The sequence below is a fragment of the Homo sapiens genome, chromosome 16 (genome assembly GCF_000001405.40).
Source record: "Homo sapiens chromosome 16, GRCh38.p14 Primary Assembly".
Taxonomy (NCBI): Eukaryota; Metazoa; Chordata; class Mammalia; order Primates; family Hominidae; genus Homo; species Homo sapiens.
In genome coordinates this window covers 86,351,003-86,368,576 of record NC_000016.10, presented here as the reverse complement: position 1 = coordinate 86,368,576, position 17,574 = coordinate 86,351,003, and the positions used below count along the sequence as shown (strand labels likewise).

Below are 17,574 nucleotides of genomic sequence, written 5' to 3'. Positions count from 1 at the left end.
GAGACTGACAGCAGGGAGGCTGGTGATGATGGAGGCAGACACGGAGGTCGTAAAGCTGCGAGCCAAGGAAAGCCGGGGACTGCCACCAACAGCCAGAAGTTGACAAGCCTTCAGAGGGGGCTCTGCCCTGCTGGCACCCTGACTTTGGACTTCCGGCCTCCAGAACTGGGAGAATACATTTCTGTTGCAGCAGACACAGGAGGCCAATATACCACCTGACGCCATGGCCGTTCTGGACGGGGACCCACGAACGAAGAATTTGGGAAAATCGGACACTCTGCAGCAATGCAGGGTGGGATTCGGAGGATTTCCCACATGAAGGCAGGGTCCTGGGAGGGTTGGGTTGGAAATTAGAATCCAGACAACAAGCCTGGATTTGGCCTCGGATTCTTGGGGCGAGAATCTAAAAGCAGATTTTCCCACTTTTGGTTGACTTCTCCTCCACTCTGAGATGAAGGGTTTGGCCTGGGAAGGGAGTTCTCAAAAGGTAGCGCATGAACCAGCAGCAGCAGCAGCTCGTGAGGGTACTGTTGAAAATGCAGATGCCTGTGCTCCCCCGAGCCCCTTTGAAGCAGCATCATCAGAGATGCAGCCTGGAAATCTGCATTTTCACAAAGTCCCCGGTGATTTGAGAGCATGCACGTGTGTTACGCACTGACCTGGAAGAGGTTCAGCGTTTAGTGATAAATGAGTCTCTACAAATGTAAACACAGTCTCACTCCCTGGAAACACTCCCTGGAAAAGGGGAGCAGATGTGCAGCACCTTAACCTGGAAACCGAGCCCTTGGGAGTAAGGGCATGAGGTTGTAGCTGGGATCCTAGTACAATAAGGTGATTTTGGCACCCACTTTACAAAGAGCTTAAGCAAGACCCCTATAAGGCGAAGACTATCGCCCAAATGTGTCAGGGCATTTGGCCTCTGATTCCCAATTACGGGAAAGCAGTTTAAGGATTTAAGCAGTTATGTGTTTCTTTCCTTTATCTGGGACTGAGCTATGAAAACCTCCATGTGGATATGCTTAAAGAGATACCCTGATTAGGAGGGAGGAGAGGAAAGAAATCCCTTGTTACATTAGAATAACAATTTCAGCTGCCGTACCAAGCAAATCTGAGAAGGCATTTTTTAAACATAGATTCATTATTCAGGAAAAGAGAGTTAATAAACAAAACACAAAGCCTGAACTCAACTGGAATCTAAAAGCCAAGTTGAACTTTCTTTTTCTAGCATGGGTTATGATGTTATCTCATTCATTTATTTCATTCCTGGATTAACGTGGTTTTACTCAGTCTTAATCTTTACTAGATTTTTCCACCTCAGGTGGGAAAAAGTGGATTTTGCATACCTTTTGAATTTTATAGGTAGAGAAAGAAATCATAAAGAAAAAGATTAACATATTGGACTATGTAAAATCCTTTTATGAATCCATCACAAAATTAGAAAGTAAACAACAAATTGGGGAAAATGTTACCAACATCCTTGAAAGATGGTCTAACTTTCTCATTGGCCTTTGGAAGGCTAAGAGACCTATTGTAATGAAGGGATAAGGCAAATCACTGTCCTTAAAATGCAGATGACCCTTGAAAATCAGGAAGATAAAGTCGATCACCCTAAGAGGTGAAGGGCAAAAAGTATTATCAAGCAATTTATAAAAGAAGAAATCCCACTGGCCAACTAACATAGAAAACTAATCATCTACAATAACAAGAAAACACACAGAGACACAGATGTTCTTTCTTTTTTGTCTGCCAAATTGGCTAAGTTTTTAAAAATTACAGTATTCAATAGGAAACGTTTGAGAAAAGTACTCTTATCATATATTGCTGGTAAAATTGTAAATTGTTACAATCTTTTTGGAGGGCAATTTGGCAAAGGGTATCAAATGCCTTAAAAAGTGCATGTCTTCAAAAATAATCATATTTGTAGGAATTGGTTCAAAGGAAATACTCAGAGGTTCTGCAAATATTTACAGATAGAGAGATAGATAGATTTATTACAACATTAAATGTGTGTGTGTGTGTGTGTGTGTGTGTGTCCTAAAAATGGCAATTACATAAATAACTAGTAAACAGTAATTGGGCAAATAAAGGATGGGCCATATCCGCAAGTAAATGCTTTGTATGGTGAGAAATTATGTTCTTAAAATATTTAGCTGGGCGTGGTGGCTCACGCCTGTAATCTCAGCCCTTTGGGAAGCCAAGGTGGGTGGATCACTTGAGGCCAGGAGTTTGAGACCAGCCTAGGCAACATAGCGAGACCCCTGCCTCTCCTCTAAAAGAAAGAAAAAAATATTTAAAGTTGTCAGAAGTGTTTGCAAAACATAATTATAGGACAAACAGTTTACGAGGAAGTACGTGTGTCATGATTTAAAAATTAAGCGTTTTATTTGGTGATCTAGAAAAACTATGACCATTTGAAGTAAATTCAAGTGTAAATAATAACAACCTTTGACTTTACAGACACGCTGAGGTTATTTGCGGAAGGCGGGACGGAGGCGACTGAACCATCACTGCCGCGTCTGATTTTTGTTTCAGTTTAAGTGCTTGACTGTGGTTTCCAAATTTCCTACAATGAACATGTGGGGTTTTTCAAAAAAACAAATATGTGAAATCTTTCTCTGTCTAGTTCCTTCGCCTTTACTTTTCTTGATGGTTTGTGAGCTAAGGTGGGCTTTCTACATGGACTTGGAATATTTGAGGAAAGATGGGGCAAGGAAATAAGAAATAATTGCTGCTCTGTGGCAGAATAAACTGTGAAGGCCCCCTCCTGGCCTGCTTCACCTCAACAGGCCGTGGACCCTGGCACCCAGCTGCCTACGGACAGAAAAGCCTCTTGGGAGGTCCAGGCTCTGCCGCACCCTCCCCACAGCAGCTGCTGCCACAGCTACGCCTCTGTTTATCTGCTTGATGTATGCGGTGTTGTGGAAATACATTGGAACGAAGGGCTCTGTGGATTTCAGTGGTTTGAGATGTTGTTGCTCTGGAACATGAACCCATCTTTGATCCACCAAGGAGCACGGGCTAGCTCTCTTAGACTTGATGTTGAAAGGTCGAGAATCTAGAACCCCAAATCAAGACATGGAAGAATTCAAGTTCAAGGCCGCATTTATTGAGTGGGTGCCGGCCCTGTTTTTTATGAATAGCAGCTTTTTAAATTTTCACAATAGTCCTAGGGAATAGGCACTCTGATTATGCCTACTTTACAGAGGAAGAAACTGAGGCCCAGGTAACATAAATGGTAGAACCAGGACTGGAACTGAAGGCTGACTTCAGAGTCCCTGCTCTTAACGGGTCTAAGACTCATGCGAATCTGTGGGACCCAGGGACTCTGAGGGCAAGAGTGGAGAGGCTGCCACTGGTACCCGGAGGTGTGGATGATGTCACCTGGGGGTGGGTGGGTGGCTGAACTTGGGATCACTGGGTCATGCCCTGGAATTATGAGTTGGAGTGCTTCCTGGAAAGAGATGGACACCTGTTTGGATATAGTGGAGAGAATGGCAGCCTCCAGAAAGATACCTCCATGTCCTAAACCTAGAACCCGTGAAGCTGACCTTATTTGGATAAAGAGTCTTTGCAGATGTAATGAAATTAAGAATCTCAAGATGAGATCATCCCAGGTTATCCAGGCAGCCACTAAACCCGAAGATCAGAGACACACAGAGAGAAGACCAGGAGAGCATGCCAGGAAGACAGAGCCCAGACTGGAGCGATGCACCACGTGCCAAGGGGCGCCAGCAGCCAACAGATGCTGGAAGAGGGAAAAGGCGTCCAGAGGGAGCACAGCTCTGCCCACACCCTGATTTGAGACTTCTGCTCTCCAGAACCGGGAGAGAATACATTTCTATCGTTTGGAGCTCCCTTGGTTTTTGGTGGTTACAGCAGCCACAGGAGACTCATACCTAATAACGAGACCCAATAAGGCCGTTCTTGTACTTATTTGTGTTTCTCTGAACAAGGTTGTTCCAGCTCTTGGTGTCGGGGGAGAAAGCCTATGTCAGATGATGCCAGGCGGGACACTTCACTGTGCAGGAATCCACAGGTCTGTGCCTCTCTGAGCCTTGGCAGGGAGCTAGAAATAGCTCAGGCGCAGCACCCTTTTTTGGTTAATGGACTGGGCTTGCAGTGCCTGCCACTTAAACAGCTACGCCAGGCGGGAGGCTGCAGGGAGCTCAGCTCCTTCCCTCCCTGCCCCTCCTTATCATGATGGATTGCCTCTCAGGAGTGAGATGGAAACTTAAAATGCTTCGCTCTGCACAGCTCCGGGCAATGCCTGGCTGCTTTTCCTCGCAAATTCAGGGTCATAAACTTTTAAAAATAGGCACAGGGCTGCCAGTCTCATTAAAAGAGACTCTGATTTATTGAGATGCATGGGCATCGTTTTCAGATAGTTCTGGAACTTTTTGGAAAGATCCTACTTATGATCATCGTGAGTTTGCCCTCAGTCCTCCTTCTCCTCCTTGGAAGTTAGTTTTCTTCCCTGCAGGAGCAAAAAAGAAGCCAGCAGCCTTGAGGACTTTCTGGATACCCTCAGAGGAAGCAAACATCTGGTGCTCTATAAATGCTTCCCTAATGGTTTGAGCTGAAGAAGTAAAAACCACTCTTCTGAATGGCTTAGAGGAGCCAGTTGGATTGATGAGCAAGCAGCCGTGTCCAGTTATGTTTTTACTGAGCGTGTCAGGATGAAAACCTTCTGCAAACGGGGATTTTCCCAAAAAAAAGGTGGTGGGTGGGGTGGGGTGGGGGTGGACATGTGGCACCCATAGAGCCCTGTTGTTAAAAGTATATTTAGCCAATTTTGTTTGGATAATGGTGGAAGATAAAATTTGCCAGGGACCCAGCTGACCTCTTTACAACTGAAATCAGATCCATTAATCTGAGTACAAAATACAGAGGGTTACAGCTTACTGATCACGTTGTTCTTTCTTTTATCCAGGCAACAAACAATGAAGGTAGGTATCACGTATAATCCCGCTAAAGAAAAATGCCTATTAAATGTTGAATACAACTCCCTTTTAGTACTTTTTTTCTGTTTTGTATATTGTGTGTACTTAAAATCTGTATTCTACATGGCTATTTGTAACCCTTCATCCCACTCAATATGCTGTGAACATTTTAACATGCATTAAGTATTTTATGGCCTCATTGTAAATGAATAGTTTTCCATCATAGAAAGGTATCCAAATTCATTTAACGAGTCCCTGTTGTGGCATATTTGCTATAATAATCTGATTAAGCACTGGGTTTTTGTTCTAGGGGTTGAGCAAGAGGTAGATTCTGTTTCCTATAAATTCTTTTTCTCTGAGTACACAGGCCACGTTGGATGCCAGTTTTCGTCTTCCTGCTGGGATTACATGTGGTAGACAGGGAATGTTTCCTCACCAGCGTGGTGAGTTAAAGGCTGTCATTTCAGACCCTTCCAGGCAGGGGCTGGAGCATGCTGATGACAGAGAGAGACATGGAATTCTTCCAACAGCCTGTGGGTCCCTAGGAAGCTGGAACATTCTTTGTCTGATTAGAGGAAGAATGGCATTTCTGAAAGTGGGTTTTGTGGGTGCATAAAAAGCCCAAAAAAGGGTCTGTTCTGGAAAGTTGGCCATCAGAACCTTCCCTTGATGTGATGGAGTATATCAAAGAATCACATTTGGGTGCCACTAACAGAACCCCCCGACCTCACCCCACCCCCACCAGTTGGTGGCTTGAACACAGTTGGTACGAGTTTTTTTTTTCTCAAGTGCTGAGAAATCCTAAGGCTGCAGTAAATAGCATTGGTTCAATACAACGCTGTCAGAGTCGAGATCTTTTCCATTTTCTCTAACTTTCTTTTATTGTTACCTCATGGTGTCAAGATGGTGGCGACATCTCCACCAGCCCATCCCTGCTCCAGGTGGAAAGACGGGAGTAAGTGAAGGTCAAATGAACAGATTCTGTTTGACTCTAGGGGCAATGATGCGTACAGCCAGTTGGCTCTAATGGCGTCACATGATTATACCTATTTGCAAGGGAGATTGGGAAATGTAGTTTTTTAGATGCCCATTAAAACTTGGCTCTGTTAATAAGAAATAAGGGAAGAATAAATGTTGTGTGGATAATCAATAATTTCAGCGATGTGAAGCAAGCTGAGAATTGTTTTGAAAATGGACAGGCTGGGTATGGTGGCTCACACCTGTAATCCCAGCAATCTGGGAGGCTAAGGCAGGAGGGCTGCTTGAGCCCAGGAGTTTGAGACCAGCCAGGGCAACATAGCAAGACCCCATCTCTACAAAAAGAATTAAAAAATTAGCTGGGCATGGTGGCACATGTCTGTAGTCCCAGCTACTTGGGAGACTGAGGTGGGAGAATCGCTTGAGCCCAGGAGGTTGAGGCTGCTGTGAGCTGAGATTGCGCCACTGCACTCCAGCCTGGGTGACAGAGCAAGACCCTGTCTCAAACAAAAAAAGAAAAGAGTCAGATATTTAAAGGGTAGACTACAGAAGCAAAGTAATTCACCAGTCTGAAAATAAATGTTTTATTCACAGCATTGCCTCTAAATACAAACCACTGTGTCATCCTCAGGGTGCTTTAGATGGCTTTCTATAGACTTCAACCACGTTAGGGGACAGTTGGTGACCAAAGAAAGAACATCTGATTACCACTGGCATTGCTTAGTTTAAACAGTCTAAAATCAGTTCTGTAGAGGCAGACCATGATATAAGGATCCACATGTGGGTGGCTTATCAAGGAAGAAAGACTTCCCAGAGAGATGAGTGAGGGAGCAGTGGAAGCAGGACAGAGAAGGACAAGCTGAGCAGTTGCCATTTCAGGCACGGTCCCAGCCGGAGCCTTTTTCGGCAGCATTGCTCATTGTTCTTAAGGCAGCTGGGGCTTTATTGGCCCTGCCCTCGTCAGTCACTGGCCAGGGCCACTCAGGAGGGTCTCAAGGTCCGAGGAGCCTCCTGTGCATCTACGAGTGAAGCAGCCCCTATAGCTCAAGAACAGGACTTCAAAGAGAGTCACAGGTGCAGGTCACCAGAAGCAAAGCACACAGAAGATGGGGGAAGTGGGGATGGATAAATAGAGGTAGCAACAGGGAGGACATTGTCTCAGAAATACTCTGGGTTATTTCCAATGACTTTTGCTGCAATGAACATCTTTGTATGCAAATCAATTTTCACATTTATGGTTTTTTCCCTAATAAATTCCTAGAAATAAAGTTCCTGGATCAAAATCTACAAATTACTCTCATGGCCTCTGGAAACATGTAAAACGTGCAACAATTTCTATTCTCCTCTCCGACATTGTGTATTAACATTGAAAAAAGTATTTGCCAAACTAATCAATGAAAAAAATACCGTTCTGTGTTTATTACGTGTGTGACTTGGATTACTGGTGAGAAGGGAAAGTTTTCTTCTATGCTGTCGATTTCCATGTTTTCCTTTATTGAATTGCCCATTTGAGGCGATGACTCAATTTTCTACGTGAGTTCATGATTTAGCTTATTAACAGCACTGCAGATGCTGATCAGAGTCCTTTTACCCTGCCTAAGGTCTGTCCTCCCACTGAGGGGTCCTGGTGACCGGGGCTCTGAGTGAGTGGGCTGCCTGCCCTGTTTGCAGACATTACACCCAGGGCCAGGAGAGACAGTGATCATCTGTCACCTGTGTTTCACCTGAGCTTCAGAAACCCTGCAGACCTGGGGTCCAGCCTGCAGTTAAAAGTGGGTCACTGGCCAGGTGTGGTGGCTCACACCTGTAATCCCAGCACTTTGGGAGGCTGAGGTGGGCAGATTACTTGAGGTCAGGGGTCGAAGACCAGCCTGGCAAACATGGTGAACCCTGTCTCTACTAAAAACACAAAAATCAGCCGGGCATGGTGGCGGGCACCTGTGACCCCAGCTACTCGGGAGGCTGAGGCAGGAGAATCAGTTGAACCCAGGAGGTGGAAGTTTCAGTGAGCCAATATCACACCACCTCACTCCAGCCTGGGTGACAGAGTGAGACTCTGTCTCAAAAATGAAAGAAAATTTTTAAAAATAAAAGCAGGTCACTGTTTTACTGGTTGCAAAACAAAAATCCCACGCGTGATCAAGAGGCTGCCCGTGTGCATGTGTGTGTGTGCACATGTACATGCGTGTGATTTTACATCAGACCGACCTGGTTTTCCATTCTACACAGCTATCACGTGCTAGCTGTGTGGTCCTGGAGAAGATCCTTCACTGCCCTGAGTCTCAGTTTCCTCAGCTGCGAAATGGGAGAAGCACAGTGCAATGCTGTGTGGATTCCACGAGCTGATGAAGACAAAGCTCTCGGCAGGCAGGAATCGTTTCAACCGTGTTAGCGGCCATGGCTACAAGCAGCCCTTAGTCCTGGAGGGGCCTGTGTCCCCAGAGTCCAGGTCTGTAGCTATAACTTGCCCTTCAAGGGGCTTCTAAAGTCTCTGTGTCTTCAGGAACCCACTGAGCATCCCTGACACAGGCTTTTTGTAGCCAAATAATAAATGGCATCTCAGAACAAAACAAAACAACATTAGGCCGGGCGCGGTGGCTCACACCTGTAATCCCAGCCCTTTGGGAGGCCGAGGCAGGTGGATTCTGCACCCCAGCAATTCCACTCCCCAGTGTGCACCCAACACGCATGCCTACATAAGTTCATCGAAAGTCACACACTAGAATGTTCAGAGCAGCTCTGCTTGCTCACAACCCCAGCATTCAAAATAAACCAAACGCCATTCACAGCAGAAGAGATAAATCACATGTTCATGCAAATGGATTGCATTAGCATTAAGAACAAATGGTCTATACCTGCATGCAATGGGAATGAGTCCCTTAAACATCAGGTTGCAGGAAAGAAGCCAGACACAAGAGACCCCATACTGTGTGAGTCCATTTATTTAAATTACAAAACAGGCAAAGCTGGTCGATGGTGTTAGAGGTAGGGTTGTGCTTTTTCTTCAAGGGTAGGTGATGGCGAGAAGGGGCTCAAAGGAAGATCCTTCCCTGCTCCGAGCCTCAGTTTCTTCATCTGTGAAGTGGGAGAAACGCCCTGTGTGGTCAGCGCTGCATGGATCAGGTGGGCTGATGTGCACATCTCCTAGGACGCTGGCCACGTTCTGTTTCTTGGTCTGGGCACTGGCTTCACAGGTGTGTTCAGTTTGTACAAATGCATTGAGCTTATCATATATGCACTTTTCTGCATGTATATCACATGACTTAAGAATTACGAATAAAAAGAACTAAAAGCCCAGAAGAAGGGCTTAAATGATCTCCCTCCCTCTCCCTCAGTCATCCCTGAGACCCTCAGTCATCCCTGAGACCACAGTGACTGGCACCCCGGCTCTGAGCCCCACACTTTCGAGGGCTCTGCTCTGACTGTCTCCAGAGCTTCATTACTCCCTGCAAATACGTGAGTGAGAAGGGAGAGAAAAAGAGAGAGGGAGACCAAGAGAGAAAAGAAAAGAAAAAAAGATACAGTGATTACCACTGCAGAGCATGAAACCCCAGTGGAGAGAGAAGCTGATACCACAGGTATCCCTTGTAGATAAAGAACCCCTCAATATGTGTGTGGTGGTATCTCCATGATACCACAGGTATCCCTCAAAAATAAAGAACCTCTCAGTGTGTGTGCAGTGGTATCTCCATGTTACTGAGCTCCGGGGGGAACCCAGAGCCAGGGTGGCCCCAGAAACCACTCAGCTGAACCTTGCTGCCCTTCCAGAGGTCACAAACCTGTGCTTTCACTGCTCCACACAGCGCTGTGGTTCATTTTTAAAAATTCAGTATCAATATTCAAAAATATGAAAATTGCACCTAAAGGTCTAGGTACTCAGTTTTGTTTTTTTAATTGTTGTTGTTGTTTGTTTGTATGTTTTGAAACACCAGAAAATCCAGCCACATTGGACTTTACTCCCGAAATGCCCTAGAGCCAAGATGGGGCTCTTTCCCCCCCTTGACCTTGGCTGCCCTTGGTCCCTGTATGATGCTGAGACCCTGTTCTATATAATTGAGTCTGAGAACTCGGTGAGTGCACTTTCATACATAACCATTCTCACTAATCAGTCCCCGATTGAATACATTTCCTTCAGGCAAACATATTCCAACCCGAGTTATTTGTCCATGGAGATTTGAGTGTGAGACCCCTGATCTTCATAATTGAGACTTGAGAAACACTCTAGGCACACATCTACGCGCTTACACAGGATTACCTGTGAGCCCAGGCCATTTCTTCCCGGGAACACCCCTAGCTCCCTCCTATGCTCTGGCATGCAGCATGCCCTCAGCTTTGTCTTCCATCCACCATTCCAGCCACTTCTGACTCTCAGGTGCCAACGGAGGCCGATGCCTGTCCATGAGGAGCAGGCTCCCAAGCTGGCGCAAGGGAGGGAGAGGGCACCCAGGAGGGCCCCTGTGCTTGTTTCCTGGAGCTACCTTAACAAAGTGCCACCGACTGGGCAGGTTCAACAACAGGAATTCATTGTCTCACATCCTGGAGGCCAGAAGTTCCAGATCCAGGTGTCAGCAGGACTGGCTCCTCCCGAGGCTGCAGTGGGGGAAGGGGTGGTGGGGCGGGGAAAGGGGTGGAGGGGGGCGGGGGAAGGGGTGGTGGGGAGGGGAAAGAGGGGTAGGGGGGGAGGGTGGGGACCGTTCCAGGCTCATTCCCTGGCTTCTGGTGGTTGCTGGTGATTTTTGCATTCCAGGCTTGTGGAAGTGTCACCCCAACCTCAGCCTTCATCTTCATGTGGCTTTCTCCCTGTGTGCATGTCTGTGTCCAAATCTCCCCTTTCTATAAGGACACAGTCATATTAGATTACAGACTACTCCACTCTAGTGCAACCTCCTCCTCACCCAACATTACATCTGCAATGACCCTATTTCCAAATAAGGCCAAGTTCTGAGCTGCCGGGGGCTGAGATTTCAACCCATAAATGTTAGAGGGGCAAGATGCAGTCCACACTAGCCCCCATCCCAGCATCAAGGAAGACAACATTCAACCTGGGAGATGGGCAGGAACCAGCTCAGCTTCTGTCCGTCTCCTAGGCTGTGAAAGGTGGACTGTGCTCCAGGCAGAAGCAACAGCACGTGCAAAGGTCCTGAGGATGCAGCAAAGAAAGATGTACCTTCTGGAATGATGTATGGGGAGGGGACTGAGACGTAAGAGGTAACCAGGACACGTAAGATGAGTGCGCATATAAGTGTGTCTTGTAAACTCCCAGACACATTCATATATCCTCAGGGAAAAGCAGTAGAGGGAAAGATCCTCCAGTGTTCCCAGGGACCATCCCTGGGTGGTGTTGGGGCAGCATTCGGGGCTCAGGGGTGGCTGGAGCGGGAGGAAGGGATCACATCTCTCAGTTGCTCCATGGGGCTGTGTCTCCTAATGCAGAATGGTCCAAGCTGAGCAATTATGAACACCCCTCAGTTGCTTCATGGGGCTGTGTCTCCCAGTGCAGAACGGTCCAAGCTGAGCAATTATGAAAACTTTTAAAGGCTTATGCAGCAGCCTCTTCCAGAACGCTTCACTTCAGCCCTCCTCGTAAACAGATTGTAAAGGTGCAATCAGCCCAGAGCCCACTCCGCTGTGATAATCTGATGTAAGCCAGGCACTGATTTATATGCGCCAGTCCAAACAAACATACCTGTAGACCATCAAACTGGAATTTCTTCCATACTTTCTTCTTATGCATTAAGGAACTGCTTTTGTTTCTCTTTTGCCGGAGGGAAGTGCTGTATTTATTTCACAGAAAGAGAGAAGCAGTGTGCAAGACACTAGGTAAAGGGGCTTGCGGAGGGCTGCAGGCTGGGTAGGGGCTACCATCTCTCTGTAGACAGGGCCAATTCGAAGGGAGAGACTGAAGAAGCCTACTGTCCCGTGTGTGCTTTATTTATATTTAAAAATGACTTGTGTTGTGTGTGTTGTATGCCAGGTGCTATTCTGAGCACTCACTAATAGTATGTCAGAGGCTCTTCCATCCCCATTTCAGAGATGGGTAAACTGAGGCAACAGTGATGTCCAGTTCTCCCCAGATGGAGAGCTGGGTTTTGGTTTCTCTCTGCCTTGTCCTCCCATGCCCCTGAGCTCTTAGGATGTGGATCTAGATGTGCCTTCTTCATCCTGGATGGTTAACATGTCTGACTCAACACACTACTGATTTCACCTACCTTTCAAGGGCATTGGCGGGAGCTTGATTTCCAGTTCCCACACCTCCTCCTCCCTCTTCCTCTCCAATAACATTCCTGCAATGCTCACGTTGACTGCAACATTGGCTGAAATTCCTCACCAGTCCCCAGATCCACTACCTTTGTCGTAAGACATTGCAGTTCCCCAGCACCACAAGGACAGAATGTATTTCCCCGCCTCTTAACTTTGAGCTCATCATGTGACTTGCTTTGTTCAACAGAAAGTGGTAGAAGCAGTGGCATGCTGGTTCCCAGCCCAGGCCTCAAGGGTTCCAAGCCCAGGCCTTAAGGGGCCTCGCATGCTGCTCTGGTGTGCCTCTGCTATTGCCATGAGAGGAACACACTCAGGTTAGCCAACTGACCCCAGGGGCAGGATGAGCCATCCCAGCTGAGCCCAACCTGGATTAGCATGCTGCTAAGATATTGTGGTTGTTTCTTGTGCAGCATTTTATGAGCCATAGGGAACTGCTACAATTTTTATTGTAGGAAATTTGATTATTATAGAATAGAATGAAGAAGACCAAGTCATTTGTAGTTGCATTACCCAGAGAGCATCTCTGAGCATTCTCGTGTTTTTTCTTCTGCTGTTTTTCTCTGTGTATGTGTGAATGCAACTGTGAGTCTACAAAATGAAATCCCACTGCATGCATATTTTATGGATGTGCTCATCTCATTAGTCTCCTCCACCACCCCAGCATTTCCACCCTCAGTCATCAACAAGGAATCTCTTGTTGAATTTCTTCAGATGCACCCGCACCCTCAGGACCTTGGCACGTGTTGCCTGGCTGCCTGGAACTCTCTCCTACCTCTTCTTTGCTGGTCTCTCAGGTCTTGCCCACTTGAGCGTTGCCTTCCCTGATCCTTTCAGTCTGGGCTGGAGCCCTCCAGTCCTCGGTGTGCCCATAGCTCCCTGTCCTCATGATTTCCTTAATTACCTGCCTTGTGTGTGCCTGGGGACTTGTCCAGATCCTTCTCTAGACTGTGAGCTCTGTGGGGGAAGGGACTATGTCTTGTCCAGCATTCCCTGAGAGGGCAGCCCCTAACACACAGAATGCGTAGGCACACGCTATTTGAGAAGTGGAGTTGTGACCTGATAATGTAACATGATATGGATGGACCATGATAAACTGAGCTATTTTTCCTGTCATTAAAGGCCAGCTTGCTTTTCAATGGAAAATTGCCCCGGGCTTTAAGAGATGCCTGGCATTTCATGTGGCTAGAGGGAGATCTTTCTGCCTGTTTTCCTAAGCCAGGGCTTGAGGAATACTTACAGAAAATGATGGGACGCTTTCCCAGATAAGCAGTTCTATGATTGTGCTCTGCTGTCTCCCACTCCCAACCATCCTGGTTGCCAATTCTTGCAGCCTAGAGCACTTTCCTCAGAGTGCTTCCCCTGCTCAATAAACTTCAATTGCTCCCCAGTTCCCGACAGAGTGTGTAGCCTGACTGATCACTTGGACAGTGGGTAGGAATGGAATCATGGTCAAGGTAGAAGCTGGGAGGAGACAAGATGAGCAGGGCTGTTCCTTGGCTCCTTGTGGTCACTGGCTCCAGGACAGGTCTTTCTTGGGACTGTGCATGCCTGCTGGGACTGAACAGGAAACAAGCCTGTTGTTTCTCTATCAGCAGGGCTGGGAGACCTCCAGAAAGCTGTGGTGAGTGCAGAAATGAGCAGCTGTTCTTCAAGAAGGCTGGCTGCTGCTGACTGTGAACCAGCGGCCCTGCTATGTGCAGGGTCCTGACCATGATGCAACCAGAACCCTGGTCCGCTCTGGCCTGTGTGCTCTGGGCCCCCAGTGCTCCTGCCTCTGACTCTGGGGAGCCATGGACTACCTTGCTTTAGTCTCATCCTTCTTTGTTCTTTACCGGGCAATCCTTTCAACCACAAAGTCTGCCTTCCTGGTGGGTTAGTGCCATCCTGACTCTGTTCTGCTGGAGGGCTTTCCTGGCCACTGCATCTGAAGGAGAGCAGTTGGGTGGGGAGTACTGGGGGCCTGGAGGTCTGGCTAGAATGCCAGCTCTGAGTGTACCTACCGTGTTCCCACCCCTTACTTGGCCTTCCCAGTGGATGCCGGCTCAGTGCTTCTCAAGCTGCCACACGCACACCCAGGATGGAGATGTCACTGAAATGCGGATTCTGATTCTGCAGGTCTGGGGTGGGGCCTGGGACTCTGCATTTCTATCAGGAGGCTGATGTTGCTGGTGCCTGGCTATTCATTGAGTGCCAGGCTCTGGCCCATTTCCAGCGACCGTGATTTGCACGTCTGGGCTTGAGGGCTTTTCCCCAAACCACACCAGGCTGCTGTGCCAACACCCAGTGCGGCAGGCCTCATGCTGTGAGGACCATATAATTCTCAGGCCTCATGCGGAGAGGAGCATACAGCTCTCGGGAGGTGGCCTGCGAGCACTCCTGCTCCCTCACCCCTTGGGCAGAGAATTCCAAGGCATGGGCTTTGCACCATTTTCCCATTTCCCTGCAGGAGGGAGCTCTCTTCACCCAGTGGGGCAGCCGCATGAACAACACTCTGAGTGCGGGGCTGGCTTCACCTCTGTGCTCACACCCCAGTCCCCTGGGGTGTCCCCTGCACCTCCCAAATAAATGACTTGTGCTTGAATTCTTGCCTCCTCCTGGAAGAACCCCAAACTCAGATGCTGCTAGGGATTTAACTGTGTCCCCCAACCCCAAATCTCCGTGAATGTGACTTTATTTGGAAACAGGGTCCTTGCAGCTGGAATCCAGTTAAGACGAGGTTACATTGTACTAGGAAGGGCCCTCAGCCACTGGCTGGTGTTCTCATAAGAGGTTTGTGGAGGCGAATTCTTAGGGAGTAAGAATGGTTTGGGAATCATGTAAAAGGCTGGGAAGATCTACATGAGCTGACAGAAAAGATGTTCATGCAGGACTCGGCAAGGGAAAAAGGAAGTTGCAGGAAATACATGCATGATGTGACACCATTTCTGGTCAAATAAATACCGTGCGGGTGTCTTTCCGTATGAATAAAACAGTAGGCAAGGCAGGACACACAGGCACTGTTGAGCAAGCAGGGTGCAGCTGGGGATGAGTGATGCCGAGTGTGGCTCCCTGCTCACTTGACTCACCCCCCTACTGTGTGAATTCATAGAGAGCACGACTCTCCTTACAATTTCCAGATCAATAGGGCTGGGCACGGTGGCTCGCTCCTGTAATCCCAGCACTTTGGAAGGCCAAGGCGGGTGGATCACTTGAGGCCAGGAGTTCGAGACCAGCCCGGACAACATGGTGAAAACCCATCTGTAGTAAAAATACAAAAAATTAGCCAGGCATGGTGCTGGGCACCTGTAATCCCAGCTATTTGGGAGGCTGAGGCAGGATAATCACTTGAGCCCGGGAGGTGGTGGTTGCAATGAGCCAAGATCGTGCCACGGTACTCCAGCCTGGGTGAGAGTGAGACTCTGTCTCAAAAAAGAAAAGAAAAGAAAAGAAATCAATAGAAAAATACAAGCGAAAGTGATGCCATAGACTTAAAAACCTAATGACACAGTTTCAAATTAGTATATAAAATTAAATTATACTCAATAACTCATTAATTTAGTAAAGTAGGTGGTAAAACAGCCTACAGAGTGATTCCATTTTTATACCATTTAGCGTTTGTGTGTGCATCTGTAAGCATGTATCTATCATCCATCTCTGTTTTGTCTTTCAATGATATCTATCTATCTATCTATCTATCTATCTATCTATCTATCTATCCACCTGTCTGTCTGTCTGTATTGATCTAGGGAAGAGGAAGAGCTTGGGATCTGCCTTTGTTTGCTCCCATATAAAAATGGGAACTGTGGTTTTCTGGATTCTTCTTTCAGTGCTTTTCTGCATTTAGATTTGTGCACAACGAGCATCTGGCACTTGTACACTTTTTACAAGCTCTTAGACCCCCCAGCTCCTGGGTGCAGGGCTGTCAGGCACCTCGGCAGGACTGAGAGTGGGAACACAGTCATCCTCCCGGTGCAGCCATGAGGGCAGCCATGGCCACTTAACCCCTGGGGCTTTTTGTGTCCACTGATGAGGGCAGATGCCACTCCTTGGCAAGCAGCTCACCCAGCTCATGCTCTCTCCGTACACAGGCTTAGGGTCCTGGGTCAGAAAGTAGCCTCTCAGTTCCCCCTCCTCCCTGCCAGAGATGGTTGAAGGTGGGGAGGAATGGGGTCTTTTGGGGAGAGCTTGTGGAATGAGAAGAGGATGAAGCTGACATGGTCAGGGACTTGCCATGTGGCAGGGGGAGGAAGGAGGAGTAATGGGGGGCAGGTGGAGAGGGGATAAAGGAAGAGGATGCCTCCTGCAGCCACGCTGGGAGCTGACCCTCTCCACCCATGCTTCGTGCACTCAGGCGCTCATCCAGGGATCATCCTGTACCTCAGACTCCGCCAAGAACTGTCCAGCCCCAGGGCCTTTGCAAGCGCTGGTTGCACTGCCTGGGATGCCCTCTCCCAGCTCACCACATGGCTGGCTCTTTCCCATTCATTGGCCTCAGCCCAGTGGCCTCCTTCTCGTCAGAGAGGCCGCCCCTGCCTGCCCTGGCTGGCCGGCTCCTCCCCTACAATGACTCTATGACATCATCATGTCCCTTCTCCTCGGAGTCCTCAGACCCTCCGAAATCCTCTGGTCTGTGTTTTGTTTCCTCTGTCTCTATCTCTCTCCCCACTAGAAGGCAGGCCCCAGGAGGGCAAGGACCCGGCCTGTCCAGCTCCCAGCCATAGCCCCAGGGCGGGACTGCAGTAGATGCTCAACAAGGCTTCTTTCCTCCCACCAGCCTCTCCTTCCCGCAGGGGCGACAGGACTTGGGGGTGTTGTTGGGGTCTAAACGACCCAAAGGAAAGAGACGCTGAAGTGGGTGAGCTGGCCTCGCACTGCACTTCCTGCTGGAGTTCAAAGTCAGCCCTGCCCCTGGAACTGCCATGGCCAGTTTAGATTGTTCCAGAATCCCGCTGCAGGCTGTTCAAAAGGCTCCCAGCTGCTATCAGGAAATAGCTCAGGAAGGTCTCCGTTAAACACTAAGAAACTGAGATGCAATCAGCTGGCCTGGAATTCAGGAAAGTGCTGGTTCTGAAATTGAGGACAGAAAGGACATGTCTCGGGGCGAGAAGATGTGAACCTGCCAACCAGCCTGTGTTCTTCTTCCACCTGTCCTGCCACGTGTTCTGCCACGTCCATGCCTCCTGTCCCGCCAACACCCCAGGAGTTGGCAGATTGGGACCCTACTCCGTGGGGAAGGGAACGCTCAGTGACTGCTGCCCCCTGCTCGCTGGCGTCCACCCGTAATCTCTCAGTTGTGGTCTCAAAGGCCAAACATGAACCAGGATTTTCCATTATGGTTGCAATTTTGGCTTGTAATTTTATCACTCGAATCTAAATCCACTTCAGAAATGCCATAAACTAATTGTCACTGAATAAA

At 48.1% G+C, this 17,574-nt stretch overlaps 2 annotated features.

The window, feature by feature from the left end:
• Positions 236–405: an enhancer, noted in NCBI's record as "experimental_46360 CRE fragment used in MPRA reporter constructs". NCBI's record gives its function as "activates a minimal promoter by MPRAs in K562 erythroleukemia cells, with activity observed for both the introgressed and non-introgressed 16:86401863 variant alleles {active_cell/tissue: K562}" and the evidence as "EXISTENCE:reporter gene assay evidence [ECO:0000049][PMID:34662402]".
• Positions 7,990–8,490: an enhancer, noted in NCBI's record as "H3K4me1 hESC enhancer chr16:86393693-86394193 (GRCh37/hg19 assembly coordinates)". NCBI's record gives its function as "activates a minimal SCP1, AML or CMV promoter by ChIP-STARR-seq in primed H9 embryonic stem cells {active_cell/tissue: H9 hESC(primed)}" and the evidence as "EXISTENCE:reporter gene assay evidence [ECO:0000049][PMID:30033119]".